This window comes from Homo sapiens, chromosome 12 (assembly GCF_000001405.40).
Source record: "Homo sapiens chromosome 12, GRCh38.p14 Primary Assembly".
Classification (NCBI taxonomy): domain Eukaryota; kingdom Metazoa; phylum Chordata; class Mammalia; order Primates; family Hominidae; genus Homo; species Homo sapiens.
Window position 1 is genome coordinate 50,955,013 of NC_000012.12, and position 16,805 is coordinate 50,971,817.

The window sequence follows — 16,805 nt, forward strand, 5'->3', positions numbered from 1 at the left end:
CGGGCACAGTGGCTCACTCCTGTAATCCCAGCACTTTGAGAGGCCGAGGCAGGTGGATCACTTGAGGTCAGGAATTCAAGACCAGCCTGGCCAATAGGGTGAAACCCCATCTCTACTAAAAATACAAAAAGTTGGCTGGGCATTGTGGCACACACCTGTAATCCCAGCTACTCAGGAGGCTGAGGCACCAGAATCACTTGAACCCGGGAGGTAGAGGTTGGGTGCAGAGCGAGACTCCATCTCAAAAAATAAAAAAGAGAGATACTATAATTAGATCACCTAATAATCTGGACCCTTAGCCTCTTTATCCTTTCCCCACACATATTTAGTATGTTTACATTTTCAACAAGTATTATGTGTATGTGGACTTTAAAAAACCCCACAAAACCTAAGCACCAATATTATGTTTTGAAGTCTGAGCTTTCTCTTTCTTCTCCATGGATGTATACTGCAGCCATGCCTGTTTCCTTGTGTTCATTTTGTCTGGAAACTATTAAAATAGTTTACTTAAATCAGACTGACATAAGTTTGCAAAAATATTAATTCCATAAAAACTTCTAAATAGGTATGTCAGATGTTCCCGTTAAGTGTTACTCTGACTCTAGCAACTTCCTAAGTGTCATTATTCACATATCAAGAAAGAATCAAATTTTACTTTACAGTAATATTCTGTTTAGAAGTTTTAAGACTTATAATAGCACCCATAAGAAATGGAAGCAAATAATTTAATAGTGATTTATCTTCCTTAGCATTTTTAGTTAAAAAAAATTCGAAAACTCAATGCTACTTGAACAGATCACTATAATGAACAGAAATTAATTAATAAACAGAGACAAAGAGACATACGCACCACTGTGCCTGTTGTATATTAAATTATTTTTCCAGAGACATTTAGGATGATTAAAGTGGAAAGATAAAAGTGTTTCCAGCTAAATTCAATTATAAACAAACTAGAGACACTATATGGAAAACAGTAAAGGTTCTGACTTTAATCTCCAAAAGAAACAAAACCAATTTAAGTAAGAACAGAACTTTCATTTGATTAAGGGAATAGAGATAAGTTTTTGCTAAAAAATAAATAATGATAAAATTTGGTAGGCTGGGCACAGTGGCTCATGCCTGTAATCCCAACACTTTGGCAGGCCAAGGTGGGTGGATCACTTGAAATCAGGAGTTTGAGACCAGCCTGGCTAATGTGGTGAAACCCTGTCTCTACTAAAAATACAAAAATTAGCTGGGTGTGGTGGCAGGCGCCTGTAGTCCCAGCTCCTCAGGAGGCTGAGGCGGGAGAATCACTTGAACTCAGGAAGTGGAGGTTGCAGTGAGCCAAGATTGCGCCACTGCACTCCAGCCTGGGCAACAGAGCGAGACTCCATCTTAGAAAAAAAAATTGGATATATATCATTGAATAATTTGTTTAGCTATTGTCATTTTAACAATATCTACTATGTATTTTCCTGCTACAGGATGGAGGGTCCTATGCAGGTAACTTACAAAACATTTTTTGTTGGTTATCTTAAGCAACTTCCATCATTATAAATATATTTACACTGTTCAAATCATCTTACAATCACTGTTAAGGTCTCTGCATGCATTATATCTATTTAAAGTATGTGTTGACAGATTATTTGGCTTTGCTTGTTTCACTTAACAGCTCATACGTGCATTTCTGTGTATTAATACTCCCTATTCTTATTTATTTTTATAGCAATGGCAGTTTTTCTTCTGTTTGGGTTATTTAGGTTTTCCTCAAACATAGTGTAGCCCTGAACATCTTTGTGTCATTTTCTTGATTTTTCTTTTGGTTATTTCCTTGGAGTATGTTCCCAGAAGTAGAATTTCCAGAGCAGGAAGCATGTTCAGTTTAATATCATTTGTTATATATTTCCAGAGTTCTTTCTAGAAGGACTTGGCCAAACTTACAGAGCTTTCAGGGTTTTACCTGTTTCCTCATATGTCTACCATCATCATTTTGTTATTTTTTTTTTTGCTGTTTTTATGTCTGTAGCACATTAGTCATTTTTATTTATTGTGGATCAGTGTATAAAATATACATGTAAATGTAATGATTTACTGATTCTTATTTCCATTTATTAAATGGATCATGAAAGAATAAATATATCCTTACCCACCCATAGACACACATATGCCAACATAGTTATTCCAAACATGCTATCCACATAAAAATTACTTGCTTTTTTTTCTTTTTTTTTTTAAAGACAGAGTTTCCCTCTGTCGCCCAGGCTGGAGCGCAATAGCACAATCCTGGCTCACTACAACCTCCACCTCCTGGGCTCAAGCGATTCTCGTGCTTCAGCTTCCTGAGTAAGCATGCGCCACCACACCTGGCTAATTTTTGTATTTTTAGTAGAGACAGGGTTTTACCATGTTGACCAGGCTGGTCTCAAACTCCTGACCTCAAGTGATCCATCAGTCTCAGCCTCCCAAAGTGCTGGGATTACAGGAATGAGCCACCATGCCCACCCAGCCTGCATTTCTTCTTTTAATCGATCCTTACATTTAGATTAAAATTTGCATTTCTATATACTAACAAGAAGCATCTGGAAACTGAAACTAAAAACATAATACCAACCAGGCATGGTGGCTCACGCCTATAATCCCAGCACTTTGGGAGGCCGAGGTGGGCAGACCACCTGAGGTAAGGAGTTCGAGACCAGCCTGGCCAACATGGCAAAACCCCATGTCTACTAAAAATACAAAAATTAGCCAGGTGTGGTGGCATGCACCTGTAATCCCAGCTACTCAAGAGGCTGAGACAGGAGAATCGCTTGAACCCTGGAGGTGGGGGTTGCAGTGAGCCGAGATCATGCCACTGCACTCCAGCCTTGGGCAACAGAGTGAGACCCTGTCTGAAGAAAAAAAACAAAACAAAAATGGAGAGACTACTGTATTCATGAATTGGAGGTGTGTGTGTGTGTGTGTGTGTGTGTGTGTGTGTGTGTGTGTGTGTGTAGTAGAGGCAGGGTTTTACCATTTTGGCCAGGCTGGTCCCGAACTTCTGACCTCAAGTGATATGCCTGCCTTGGCCTGCCAAAGTGCTGGCATTACAGGCATGAGCTACCATGCCTGATCCTGTGTTCCTGAATTGGAAGGCACTGTATATTGGTAAAGATGTCAATTCTCCCCAAGTTTATCTACAGGCTTAATGTAATTCCTGTCAAAACCCCAGCAAGGTTTTTGGTAGACATAGACAAACTTATTCTAAATCTTATATGGAAAGGCACAAGTCCTAGAAAAGCTAAAATAATCTTTTTTTTTTTTTTTTTTAGACGGAGTCTTGCTCTGTTGCCCAGGCTGGAGTGCAGTGGCACTATCTCGGCTCACTGCAAGCTCTGCCTCCCGGGTTCACACCATTCTCCTGTCTCAGCCTCCCGAGTAGCTGGGACTACAGGCACCCGCCACCACACCCGGCTAATTTTTTGTATTTTTAGTAGAGATGGGGTTTCTCTGTGTTAGCCAGGATGGTCTTCATCTCCTGACCTCGTGATCCGCCCGCCTCGGCCTCCCAAAGTGCTGGGATTACAGGCGTGAGCCACCGCGCCCGGCCTAAAATAATCTTTTTTAAAACAAGATAAAAGTGGAAAGAATCACTCTGGCTGATATTAAGGCTTACTATATTGCTACAGTAATCAACATGGTGTGGTACTGATGGAAGGTCAAATGCAGGGATTAATGGGAAAGAATAGAGAACCCAAAAAATAGGCCGGGCACAGTGGCTTACGCCTGTAATCCCAGCACTTCAGGAGGCTGTGGTGGGTGGATCACTTGGGGCCAGGAGTTCAAAGCCAGCCTGGCCAACATAGCGAGACATCATCTCTACTAAAAATACAAAAGTTGGCCAGGTGTGGTGGTGCATGCCTGTAATCCCAGCTACTAGGGAGGCTGAGGCACGAGAATCACTTAAACCCGGGAGGCAGAGGTTGCAGTGAGCTGAGATTGTACCACTTCACTGCAGCCTGGGTGACAGAGCAAGACTCTGTCTCAAAAGAAAAACAAACAAAAAAAAGATGCACACTTTTACTGTGCAAATGTTTTCTTACTGTGCATTTTGTCCTTGTCATATTCTATTACATCTACCATATCCTCTTTTTTATTTTTTTCCTGAGACGGAGTTTTGCTCTTGTTGCCCAGGCAAGAGTGCAATGGTGCAATCTCAGCTCACTGCAACCTCTGCCTCCCGGGTTCAAGCGATTCTCCTGCCTCAGCCTCCTGAGTAGCTGGGATTACAGGCATGCGCCACCACGCCTGGCTAATTTTGTATTTTTAGTAGAGATGGGGGTTTCTCCATGTTGGTCAGGCTGGTCTCGAACTCCTGACCTCAGGTGATCCACCTGCATTGGCCTCCCAAAGTGCTGGGATTATAGGTGTGAGCCACTGTGCCCGGCCCCATATCCTCTTATAGATGTTATAAATACACTATTCTATTTTCTTCAGTTTTTGTTGTTGTATTTTTGTTTTGTTTTGCATTTAACTCTTACTTATCCAAAAATTTTTTTTCAGGGTCTAGTGTGAAATACAAATCCAAGTTAGTTCTTCTCTATACCAATAAGTTATACTTATGGCATTTATTAAATTATTCCAGTATCTGGGTTTATTTTTGTCGTTGTTGGTTTTGTTTGTTTTTTGTTTTTTAAAACAAAGTCTTGCTCTGTCACCCAAGCTGGAGTGCAGTAGCATTATCTCAGCTCACTGCAACCTCCACCTCCTGGGTTCAAGTGATTCCCCTGCCTCAGCCTCCCAAGTAGCTGGGATTACAGGCATGTACCACCACGCCCGGCTAATTTTTTTGTATTTTTAGTGGAGATGGGATTTCACCGTGTTGGCCAGGCTGGTCTTGAACTCCTGACCTCAAGTGATCCACCCGCCTCAACCTCCCAAAGTGCTGGGATTACAGGCATGAGCCACTGCACCTGGCCCAGTATCTGTTATCTGGCTATTTTTGTTTTGTCATGGATTAAGTTCTCAGTGTTTTAAATCTTTTTCTAGAATCTTTCCTATTTAGTTGATGAGTTCTTTGTTTCAGAGCCAGTTACACAGAATCTTGGTTGTCACAGCAGTATATTCACCCCTTGACATTTGTAGGAAATACAGAAATATTTGTATAGGCTTCTGAACTTTTCTAGAATCACAGTTCTTGCCAGAGTTATGCTTCTTGTGCATATATTCATACCTTTTCATCTCTCACTAAAGTTTATTGTTTCACTTTATATAGAAGCACAAATTTTTTCTCACTCTACTGGGTTTACTCCTTATTTGGTAACAGGAAGAGAAGAGTAAAGCCAAACACTCAAAAGCTGTGGGCACTGAGATGCTGGGTTAGTTCACTTACTGGCTAAGTGACTTGCCACAGATAATAACTTTGTAGCATGCACAGTTTGAAATCATTCCTCAGGAAATTACAAATGACTAGACAAGTTACTACACTATATGGTTCTAATTTTTCTGGGAAGAGTCAAAACTGCAAATACTGGACTCAAGAATATTAAGGGCTCATTTTAAAGTCTGGTAGATCAAATCCAGCTTGGTTCTTTGAAAAATGTTCTTTGCTGGAGTCTTTCCTGCTTATCTTTCAGGTTCTTATCCTGTAGACATTCTTTCATTTAACTCTCTAAGCACTTGAAAATTCTTGCCTGCTGTGTATTTAACCCATACATTTTTTTTTTTCTAGAGACAGGGTCTCACTCTGTCAACCAGGCTGTAGTGCAGTGGTGCAATCACAGCTCACTGAAGCCCTGAACTCCTAGGCTCAAGGGATCCTCCTGCCTCAGCCTCCTGAGTAGCTGGGACTACAGACGTGTATCACCATGTGTGGCTAATTTTTTTTTTTTTAGAGATGGGGTCTTGCTATGTTGCCCAGGCTGTTTTCAAACTCCTGGTCTCACACGATGCTCCTGCCTCAGCCTTCCAAATAACCCATACTTTTAAAATTCACAGGTATAGCAGGCTTTGTGACTGTGGTGTCCTGTGGTCTTTACAAGCTAAAGTACAGAAGAGATCAGAAAATGTCAATTCATCTTATTCACATGAGAGTTGCTGCCCAAGGATTTGTTGTTGGAGCTGTGACTCTAGGTAACCCGCTTAATTTGTATCTTATGTTCAGCTGTCTTTGAGAGTACATTTATTTATTTTATTCATTCATAGTAGAAGATGAATGTTGGGTCACAATGATGTAATGAGAGAGGGGTAGGAAAGACTGATCTTCCCTTAGTTGAGGTTGTGGCCCAGTTGTGCGCTTAATTTTTTATGAATGCAGCTGACAAAAACTGACAAAACCTATGGTAGAAAACTAGGGCAATGGGCTGTTCTTCTCTTTAGTGAAGGGAGTGGTGAATAGTTCCTATCCTATAACTCAAGCGCAGCAGTTATGGATAGATCACAGCCTATATTGTGGCTGTGATCCCCATCTCATGGCTAAGAGCAGCGATCGTATTTCCCAGCCTATCTGAACAGCAAATGTAGTTATTAGCTTAGGAAGAAGACATTTTTAGAGTCCACAAATCTCATCTGCCTTCTTCTTTCCTTCCAAGTTTCAGCAATAGGCAAATCTTTTTTTATTAGTCCATAAATTAAGCAAGACCTACCAGTCAAATCCAAAGAAAAGGTATAAAATTGTCTTCATTAATTCAGGTTATACCCAGAGCTAAATCAGGTAGTTCTAACAAGAAGTCCATTTTAGGACCTAAATTAATCTAAATTTGTTTGGCCTACATTAATGAGAACAGGTCACAATACTCTTAAGTCCCCTTCATGACGTGCAGAGTGGAGTCATCCTGCGTAGGATGGAAATTACAGAATGATGGGCATGGGGCTTGCAAGGAAAGTTACGTGGTAATAATCTTATTACTGTGAGCTGTAATGTGCTCCAAATACAGGAAGCCTTACTACAAAGTTACAGTCCTCATTTTCATCATTCAGCAAACATTGATTGAATGCCTGCTATGTACCAGACACTGTTTAGAAATATGACTCAGTCCCTACCCTTAAACAGTTTAGTCTCCTTAGGAAGACAGACCAAGAAAGAAAGAAGACAATATAAAGTTATAGATGCCGTGACAGAAATAGCACAGGCTGGCTGGGCGCAGTGGCTTGCACCTGTGATCCCACCACTTTGGGATGCCGAGGCGGGCAGATCAACTGAGGTAAGGAGTTCGATACCAGCCTGGCCAACATGGCAAAACCCCATCTCTACTAAAAAAATTACACACACACACACACACACACACAAAATAGCTGGGTGTGGTGGCACATGCCTGTAATCCCAGCTACTTGGGGGAGGCTGAGGCAGGAGAATCGCTTGAATCTGGGAGGTGGAGGTTGCAGTGAGCCGAGATCATGCCTTTGCACTCCAGCCTGGGCAATAAGAGTGAAACTCCATCTAAAAAAAAGCCAGGCACGGTGGCTCATGCCTGTAATCCCAGCACTTTGGGAGGCCAAGGCAGGAGGATCACTTAGGGTCAGGAGTTCAAGACCAGCCTGGCCAACATGGTGAAACCCTATCTCTACTAAAAATACAAAAATTAGCCAGGTGTGGCATGCGCCTGTAGTCACAGCTACTTGGGAGGCTGAGGCAAGAGAATCGCTTGAACCTGGGAGGCAGAGGTTGCAGTGAGTCGAAATCATGCCACTGCACTTTAGCCTGGGCATCAGAGCAAGACTCCATCTCAAAAAAAGAAAAAAAAATTTTTTTGCTATGGAAGCACAAACACAAGGGAGTGGTATTTAACTAGGGCTGGGAGGCCAGAGGAGGCTTCTTTAAGGATGTAAACCATGTACTGAACCAAGAATAAGGAGGAATTAACTAAGCAGAGAAGGACCTCAGGATTCTAGGCAGAGGAAAAAACAAAGGCACAGAAGCATGGCATGTAAGTGGAACTCTACATAGCTTGGTAGGCGAATCAGTGTTTGAGGAGAAAAGCAACACTACTAGTAGTAATGTTTAATGAGGGATTTATTACAGGTATTTGAACTTATATAATTATGAGGCTCTTGCTTATGAAATCTGGAGCTGGGGCCTGAAGTGAGCCGGGAAAGGAATTAGAAAAGAAAGGAAAGTAGGCCAGGCATGGTGGTTTGCACCTGTAATCCCAGCACTTTGGGAGGCCGAGGCAGGGGTATCACTTGAGGTCAGGAGTTTGAGACAAGCCTGGTCAACATGGTGAAACCCCATCTCTACTTAAAATACAAAAATTGGCTGGGAGTAGTGGTGCATGCCTGTAATCCCAGCTACTCAGGAGGCTGAAGTAGGAGAATTGCTCGAACCTGGGAAGCGGAGGCTGCAGTGAACCAAAACCACGCCACTGCACTCCAGCCTGGGTGAAAGGGCAAGACTCCATCTCAAAAAAAAAAAAAAAAAAAAAAAAGAAAAGAAAAGAAAGGAAAGTAGAAGCAAGGAAAATCCAGAACCTGCAAAGATGAGCTAGAACAATACACAGGACAGACTGGAACCCTTGTGGGTTTTCAGCCATCTCCAAGCCTCCACATTCACTGACGGAGGTGAAATATAGAAAATGCCAATGCCTTTCATCCTGGGGCTAAACATGGAGCTGGCAAAGGGGTCAGAGAAGGTGAAGGAGAAAATTCAGCAGGAGCCATGGTGGCTGTGCTCATGATTGCTGAACCCTGCCAATAAAGTGAGCCAGCAGAGAAGCAAAACTGTACCGCAACAGTGTCTTCCAGACATAAGAAGAATTCGACTGCTGCATCATTTCCACCTTCTAAATCTCATACAGGATGTCTCTTTTGCACTAACCCTGGTAATAAAAGGAAAGGAATTCTGGAAAATGCAGTTACAGGCTACTTCAACTGACATAATATAAGCCTACCACTGTCCAGCCCTTGTCAACTTGACATCCATATATACCTCTATTAATTACTCTTAACTTCCAAATAAAGACAGTGTCAAAATCAGCCACCCCTTGTATATCCAAAAGCATGCTAGTTATCTCCCAAAAGAGGATACAGAATCCCTTCATACGTCTTTGGATGATGATGATTCCTCTTTGAGCTGAATCACATTCCCCTTTGATATCCTATGACTTAAATCCTGAGATATAAGGTTGAATCCTATTAACACTTCTTATGTTAGATGATAGGTAAATGGACGTGGGGAATAGAAAAAAATTGGGCTAATCTATACATAAATGCATTCATATCAAAATAAGGAAGAAACACTCCTAAATATCACAGTCTGTTTCTGCAGCTGGTCAGATGGTTATTGCTAGTATTATATCTATATTCATCCACTACACATTTCATATCCCCTTTGCTTTCAGCAAGTACCTTGGCTACTCATGGTTATTTGACTGGTGGGGTGACCCAAACCTTCATTCCTTCATGCCTAACCTGGATTATTAGGCATCCTGCCTGTGTTGGATTTAGTTTTCCATTGTCTTTAATCACAGGACATGGGAGTACCAAGAAGTGCCCTAAAAGATATAATGCATTCCAATTTCCCCTTGATGTTCAGAACAAATTAATATAATGAACTAAAGGGATGTCCTGTGTAATGAAGAGATGATCAAGGTCCCTGCAGACTAGATTATGACATACGGCTGGAGAGTTCACACAGCCCTGATATTAGGCAGTGAAAGCATACTGTGGGCCCTGCCAGGTGAAAGCAAATGCTTCTGATTATCTTTAGTAAAAGATATACAGAAAAAAGCATTCAACCAGATTAACAGCTGCATACCAAAAAGCAAATGTTATGTTGATTTGCTCCAGCAGCAAAACCACATCTGGATAGCAGAGTGACCACCTGATTAAGTTTATAGGAATAGTATCATTCTCCAAGATCCATCTGTCTTCTGCCAAATAGGCAAACTAAATGGGGATGTTTTAGGAATCACCACTCTGGTATCTTTTTTCAAAGACTTTTTGTAGAGGCAGAGTCTCACTATGTTGCCCAAGCTCAAACTCCTGACCTCAAGCAATCCTCCTGCCTTGGCCTCCCAAAGTGTTGGGATTACAGGCACGACCCATTGCATCTAGCCACTCTGGCATCTTTGAAGTCCTTGATGATGGCACTAATCTCTACAATCCCTCTAGGAGTAGGGTAATGCTTTTGTTTTATGTTTGTGGGTTTTTTTGTTTTTGTTTTTTGAGACAGGGTCTTGCTCTGTCACCCAAGTTGGAGTGTAGTGGTATGATCATGGCTCGCTACAGCCCCAAACTCCTGGGTTCAAGCAATCCACCCACCTCAGCCTCTTGAGTAGCTGGGACTACACGTGTGCACCACCATGCCTGGCTAATTTTTAATTTTTTTTTTTTTTTTGTAGAGGTGAAGTCTTGCTACATTGCCCAGGCTGATCTTCACCTGGTGGGCTCAAGCAATCCTCCCACCTCAGCCTCCCAAAGTGCTGGGATTACAGTTGTCAGCCACCGTGCCCAGCCACTGGTTTACTATTTTTCCTTCCACTTGGTATTTCCTACTATAATAGCCCTTACTTTGCAGGTCAGGGGACCAGTGTAAGAATTCTGACAGTTGATGAGTATGTCTATTCCAATTACACATTCCAGAACTGAGGAATAACAGAGAGTGGGTTCAGTGACCCACCAGGCTTGACTATGAAACAGACCCACAGCAAAACTCCATTAACCACCTGACCTCCACAAACCCCTACTTTGACTGGTAGGCCACACTCATTCTACCAAAGTATGGATTAGTGTCAATTTAGAACCAGGATTCAAAAATCCCCCATAAATGTGATTCTTTTCCCTTCCTTGGTGAACAGGTACCCTGGTAAATGAGCACAGGTCCCCTTTGGGAAAGGCTAGAAGGAAGACTTACATCTATTTTTGTCTGTCGAACATGGTCTTTCCTTAAGGGGATCTGGCTCCCTCTTCATTCAAGGGATTTCTGGGCCTGTGAAAATGACTCAATTCTAGGAATTGGTCAAGGAGCCCTGGCTCTTTATTGTGGTGATTCAAGTTAGACTTTTGTTCACCAAACCTAGAGCTTTTCTGCTTCTGCCCATAAGTTTCAGTTCTAGGGATACCATAATCAGTTAGCCAATGCCAAAGATCTCTGTGGCTTACTTAGACTATTCTGATGACCACTTAGGCTTTGCTGCCCATCACAACAATCATGCTTTCCTTGTCTTTGTCAATCAAATGCTACCACTTGACCCCCACAGCCTCAGGATCCCATCATCCCCATTGAATTTAGGGAGCCCAGCAGTTTGCACTGTCATTTCTGGCATACAGAGAACAGTCACCACAGGACTCTTGTCAGGGCTACCCTGACAAATGTCTTTCTCACAACCTTAGTTTAGGGAGTGGGTAAGCAGGATAAATTTACTCTAACATACCAATCTCCCTAATCCTTTGGATACCTACCTCTGTGGCAGTTTCTGAACCTCAGCACTACTGACATTTTGGGCTGGATTCTTCTTTGTTGTGGAGGATTGTCCCATGCATTGCAAGATGCCTAACAGCATCCCTGGTCTCCACCCAAGAGATGCCAGTAGAACTCCTTCCCACCTCCACACCCTCAGTTGTGACAACCAAAAACATCTCCAGACATTACCATATTTCCCTGGGGAACAAAACTGCCCCTGGTTGAGAACCATTACTCTACCAAGGAAGTTCTGGCATTTCAATTTCATTTAGTGGAGATTACCTTTTGGTCCAAGTTTCAGTCATTCTCAGACAGGATGGAAGGACTGCTTCTATTGGCAAAGGAGTCTCACTAAAATTTAAGTGTTCAAAGACCCATTTCATTTATGTCTGCCACATCTTCCCAATTTTCAGTGTCCCACTCCTTCTAAAGCAATGGTTTAACATAAGTGACTTTGTGAGGTTGGGGATTGAATTTGTATTGTGATGAGCCACTCACAGGATTCGGGAGGCCAAGGTGGGTAGATCATTTGAGGTCAGGAGTTCGAGAACAGCCTGGCCAACATGGTGAAACCCCCATCTCTGCTAAAAATCCAAAAATTAGCCAGGCATGGTGGCATGTGCCTGTAATCCCTGCTACTCGGGAGGCTGAGGTAGAATCACTTGAACCCAGGAGGCAGAGGTTGCAGTAGGCCAAGATCACACCACTGCACTTCAGCTTGGGTGATGGAGCAAGACTCAGTCTCAAAAAAAAAAAAAAGAAAGAGAAATAGGGTCTTGCTCTGTCACTCAGGCTGGAGTGCAGTGGTGCAATCATGGCTCACTGCAGCCTCAAACTCCTGGGCTCAAGATATCCTCCTGCCTCTTCTGGGCTTAAGAGATCCTCCTGCCTGCCTCATTCCCACAGAGCTGGGACTACAGGTATGCATCATCATGTCTGGCTAATTTTAAAATTTTTTCGTAGAGGTGGGATCTCCCTATGTTGCCCAGGCAAGTCTCAAATTCCTGGGCTCAAATGGTCCACTTGCCTCAGCCTCTCAAAGTGCTGGGATTACGGGCATGAGCTACCAGACCTGGCCTTTATTTTTTGTAGAAATGAGGGTCTCACTTCATTGCCCAAGCTGGTCTCGAACTCCTGACCTCAAGCGAACTCCCACCTCAGCTTCCCAAAGTGCTGGGATGACAGGTATAAGCCACCATGCCTGGCCTAATGGGTGATAATTTAAGAAACTATTTTGCTACTAAATGCCATGGACTGTTAGCATCCTCCTTATAACTGAAAACATGGCCATTAATGCCTTTAAATCTAAACGGATCAGAGAACCAATTCCGGATAACCCAGAACCATTTCAGAGAACCTATCATGCTGGTTCTGTTCCTCTGGAAGTACTTCTAATTCCAAACTGTATCAGTCAAGATTCAGACAAGCAAAACTACCAGTAGTGATATATAAAAAGTGATTTAGGCTGGGTGTATTGGGAGTCCAAGGCAGGAGAATCACTTGAGCCCAGGAGTTTGAGACCATTCTGGGCAACATGGCGAATACCCTATCTCTACAAAAAATTAAAAAGTTAGCCAGGCAAGCTGCATGCACCTGTGGTCCCAGCTACTCGGGAGGCTGAGATGAGAGGATGGCTTGAGCCCAGGAGGTCGAGGCTGCATGAGCCTTGCTCACGCCACTGCACTCCAGCCTTGGCCACAGAGCGAGGCATTGTCTCAAATAATAAGAAGAAGAAGGAGGAGGAGGAGGAGGAGGAGGAGAATGAGGAGGAGGAGGAGAAGGGATTTATTACAGAGATATGACCTTAAAACATTTTTGGAGTTGGCTAAACAGTTTATGCGAAGCTGTTGCTTATGTTTCTAATACTGGGGACTGAAGTCAGTAAGGCAGCAGTTGGGAAGGAAAGATAAACTGGAATCTGCAAGGATGAACTAGAACCCAAGAAGACAGATGAGAACTTGTCAGACTTACTGCCTCCCAACTTACCGTAATCTCCACTCCAGTTACACTGATTCTTTTTTTGTGTGTGTGTGGGGGGAGACAGGGTCTTGCTCTGTCATCCGGCTGGCGTGCAGTGGCGTGATCACGGTTCACAGCAACCTCAAACTCCTAGGCTCAAGTGATCCTCCCACCTCAGCTTCCCTAGCAGCTGGGACTACAGGCGTGTGCCACCATGCCCAGCTAATTTTTGTTTGTTTTGAGATGGAGTCTCACTCTGTTGCCCAGGCTGGAGTGCAATCTCAGCTCACTGCAACCTCCACCTCCCAGGTTCAAGTGATTCTCCTCACTTTGCCTCCTGAGTAGCTGGGATTACAGGCACCCGTCACCACACCTGGCTAATTTTTGTATTTTTAGTAGAGATGGGGTTTCGCCATGTTGGTCAGGCTGGTCTCAAACTCCTGACCTCAAGTGATCCACCCGCCTTGGCCTCCCAAAGTGCTGGGATTACAGGCATGAGCCACCACGCCTGACCCTAATTTTTTTATTTTTTTGTAGAAATGGGTCTCGCTATTTTGACTAGGCTGGTCTCTAACTCCTGGCCTCAAGTGATCCTCCTCCCTTGGCCTTCCAACGTGGTGGGATTACAGGCATGAGCCCCCACCACGCACCGCATTTATATTGTTTATAAATAAATGCACAGTTTAGCTGGGCACGGTGGCTCACGCCTATAATCCTAGCACTTTGGGAGGCAGAGGCGGGTGGATCACCTGAGGTCAGGAGTTCGAGACCAGCCTGGCCTACATGGTGAAACCCCATCTCTACTAAAAATACAAAATTAGCTGGGTGTGGTGGCGCACACCTATAGTCCCAGCTACTAGGGGGGCTGAGACAGGAGAATTGCTTGAATCTGGGAGGCGGAGGCTGCAGTGAGCCAAGATCACCCCACTGCACTCCAGCCTGGGCAAGACAGAGAGACCCCATCTCAAAAAAATAAAATAAGTAAATAAATAAATCCAGATTTTGAGAGGCATGCTCAACATATTTACTTAGATAAATCTGGAAAGTTTGGAGACCACCTACCTGTGCCATGTAGAAATCTCATACGTAAGGCCAGGCACAGTGGCTCATGCCTGTAATCCCAGCACTTTAGGAGGCCAAGGCAGGCAGACCACCTGAGGTCAGGAGTTCAAGACCGGCCTGGCCAACATGGCGAAACGCTGTCTGTACTAAAAATACAAAAATTAGCTGGGCATGGTGGTGGTGCCTGTAATCCCAGCTACTTGGGAGGCTGAGGCAGGAGAATCGCTTGAACCTGGGAAGCGGAGGTTGCAGTGAGCTGAGATCACGCCATTGTACCACTCCAGCCTGGGTGACAAGAGCAAGACTCCATCTCAAAAAAAAAAAAACAAAAACAAAACGTCATACTTACAATAATGAATATATGGGTTTCACACTCAGAAGAGGGATCTAATTTCAAGATCTGATGCCTTGATAACTGAGACAGGTATGGGCTGGTGGTGGTGGTATGTGAGTTGTAGTTTAAATCTGTGACTCCCTAACTTGCTTTTGGGTGAGAACATTTGCTGACATCCTTGGAACTCATTAAAGCAGCTCCTCTCTTCCTTACCCTATTCCTTCTGGCTACTTCCCCCTTTCTGCATGCCCCAGGACTCTGTGGAAGCCATACATATCATCCGCCTAAACTCACAGGCAATTCACCCACTAGATCATAAATCCCTAGAAGCAGGAATTAGATCCACTCACCATTTGTTTTCCTCGGGATACTGAGTACAAGTAGAGACTGAATAAATGTTTGCTAATTGAGATGACTACTATTTTTATCTTCACATCTGGTCAAATTTGCCCACTTTCCTAACATTTCACCAATATTTTGGTGGCACTAAAACATCATAAATTTAAGTTGATATTGATTTGAAAGGGCTCCTAGAGTTTTGTTTTTTGTTTTTTTCTAGAGTCACTTGTATGATCCAAACCAAAAACTAGTAAGAAGGAGGGCCTTTGTTTGTTTCTGTTTAAATTGTGGGCTAGTTTCATAAAAATACAACAAGTGGAAGAAATTCAGTGTTTGTTTCCCATGGATACTCAATTGATATACATCCTTCTTTTTCTAGGTGTTCTCTATTCTATGTATAAGGATTACATTAGACCACGATTCTTCAGTGAGTCCAAAAAATGAAGCTTACATGCTGGAAGCAAGAAAGACAAGAAGCTTCTGAAAACTATTTATTATGAAGAATAAATTTTCAATATGTAGCAAATTTTACTACACAAGTGTCACAGAATGCTCATAGCCTTTGTATTTCAAGTCTCAGTGTTTTAAGAAGTTGATTTCCAGATCAACAATCATAAACAGTCAACTCAGAAATATCCCGTGTTAATGTCTTTCAGAACCTAGGGCATGATTTTCTGACTTAATTTTTTCAAATTTTGTAGTTAGTGGCAGAAAATAATCTGCCACTAATCTGTCAAACTAATGATAATCTGCCAAACCAATCTGAAAAATTAATAATTATATAATGGTTACAGAAGACTTCTCTTTTCTTTATTTTATTTTATTTTATTTTTTGAGATGGAGTCTTACTCTGTTGCCCAGGCTGGAGAGCAGTGGTATAATCTCCGCTCACCGCAACCTCTGCCTCTCAGGTTCAAGTGATTCTCCTGACTCAGCCTCCCAAGTAGCTGGGATTACAAGCACCCACCACCACCCCTGGCTAATTTTTTGTATTTTTAGTAGAGATGGGGTTTCATCATGTTGGCCAGGCTGGTCTCGAACTCCTGACCTCAGGTGATTCACCCACATTGGCTTCCCAAAGTGCTGGGATTACAGGCGTGAGCCACGGCGCCGAGCCACAGACTTTTTATATCCATGTTAAATGTGACACCCTATCCATGTCTTAATTCTCCCCAAATAGGGCAAAGTAATTACGGTTTCATAAACTCCTTTTTAGAATGGGTAATAATGACATCAGAGGAGAATGGTCATGTTGTTATATAAAGTTGGTTCACCACTTTATATCTCATTCTTATACAGAAACTTGACTATTTTACCGCAAACACATGTTTAACATTTAATTATTTGTTTATTCATTTTTAGACTTTAAAGTAGTTCTAGGAATACAAAGGTAAACTGCAAACACATTTCTTTTTCCTGAGATGGCAAAAAGGATTTAGTCCAGAAGTGCTAATGCTAATGTGGTACGACACTGTAGAAAACACAAGAAACCAAAGCAGATGTTAAAGGTTAAGTTTACCTGTGGCCTTGGACTCCGCTCTAACTGCCCTCAGGGTCTAAAAAATTAACTAGGCTTTGCTGAAGACATAACTGCCTTGACTTAAGCTTAATCCCAAAGACTCCAAGCCTAGGAGAGAAAAAAATAGTCACTGAAATAAAATCAAGAATATATGCAATGTAAGATGATTTCTGGTGGGTACTTCCTTTTCCTCAGTGTTTCCTGTAATGGAGGTTTACACTGACAAGAAGGTGAAG

At 42.7% G+C, this 16,805-nt stretch overlaps 2 protein-coding genes across 8 annotated transcripts in view; one reads left to right on the forward strand and one right to left on the reverse strand.

Moving 5' to 3' along the window:
• The window catches only part of HIGD1C (HIG1 hypoxia inducible domain family member 1C), a 41,483-nt gene that overhangs the window by 23,903 nt on the left and 775 nt on the right, over nucleotides 1-16,805 (forward strand). For 3 of the 5 annotated variants that reach the window (XM_017019783.3, XM_011538649.3, XM_017019785.2), the window contains one exon: nucleotides 5,956-6,090. In XM_017019783.3, the coding sequence (XP_016875272.1) occupies nucleotides 5,956-6,090 (135 nt within the window). Of the gene's footprint in view, nucleotides 1-5,955; nucleotides 6,091-15,429; nucleotides 15,596-16,805 lie in introns of those variants that run through there. The other 2 variants (XM_017019784.3, NM_001109619.4) reach the window with 1 other exon arrangement.
• SLC11A2 (solute carrier family 11 member 2) overlaps nucleotides 1-16,805 on the reverse strand; it is a 76,624-nt gene that overhangs the window by 2,750 nt on the left and 57,069 nt on the right. Inside the window, exon 18 of one of the 3 annotated variants that reach the window (XR_007063078.1) lies at nucleotides 16,570-16,677. The exons of the other annotated variants lie outside the window; for them this stretch is intronic. The gene's annotated coding sequence lies outside the window, so the exon portion shown is untranslated. The remainder of the gene's footprint in view (nucleotides 1-16,569; nucleotides 16,678-16,805) is intronic. 3 annotated transcript variants of the gene reach the window in all.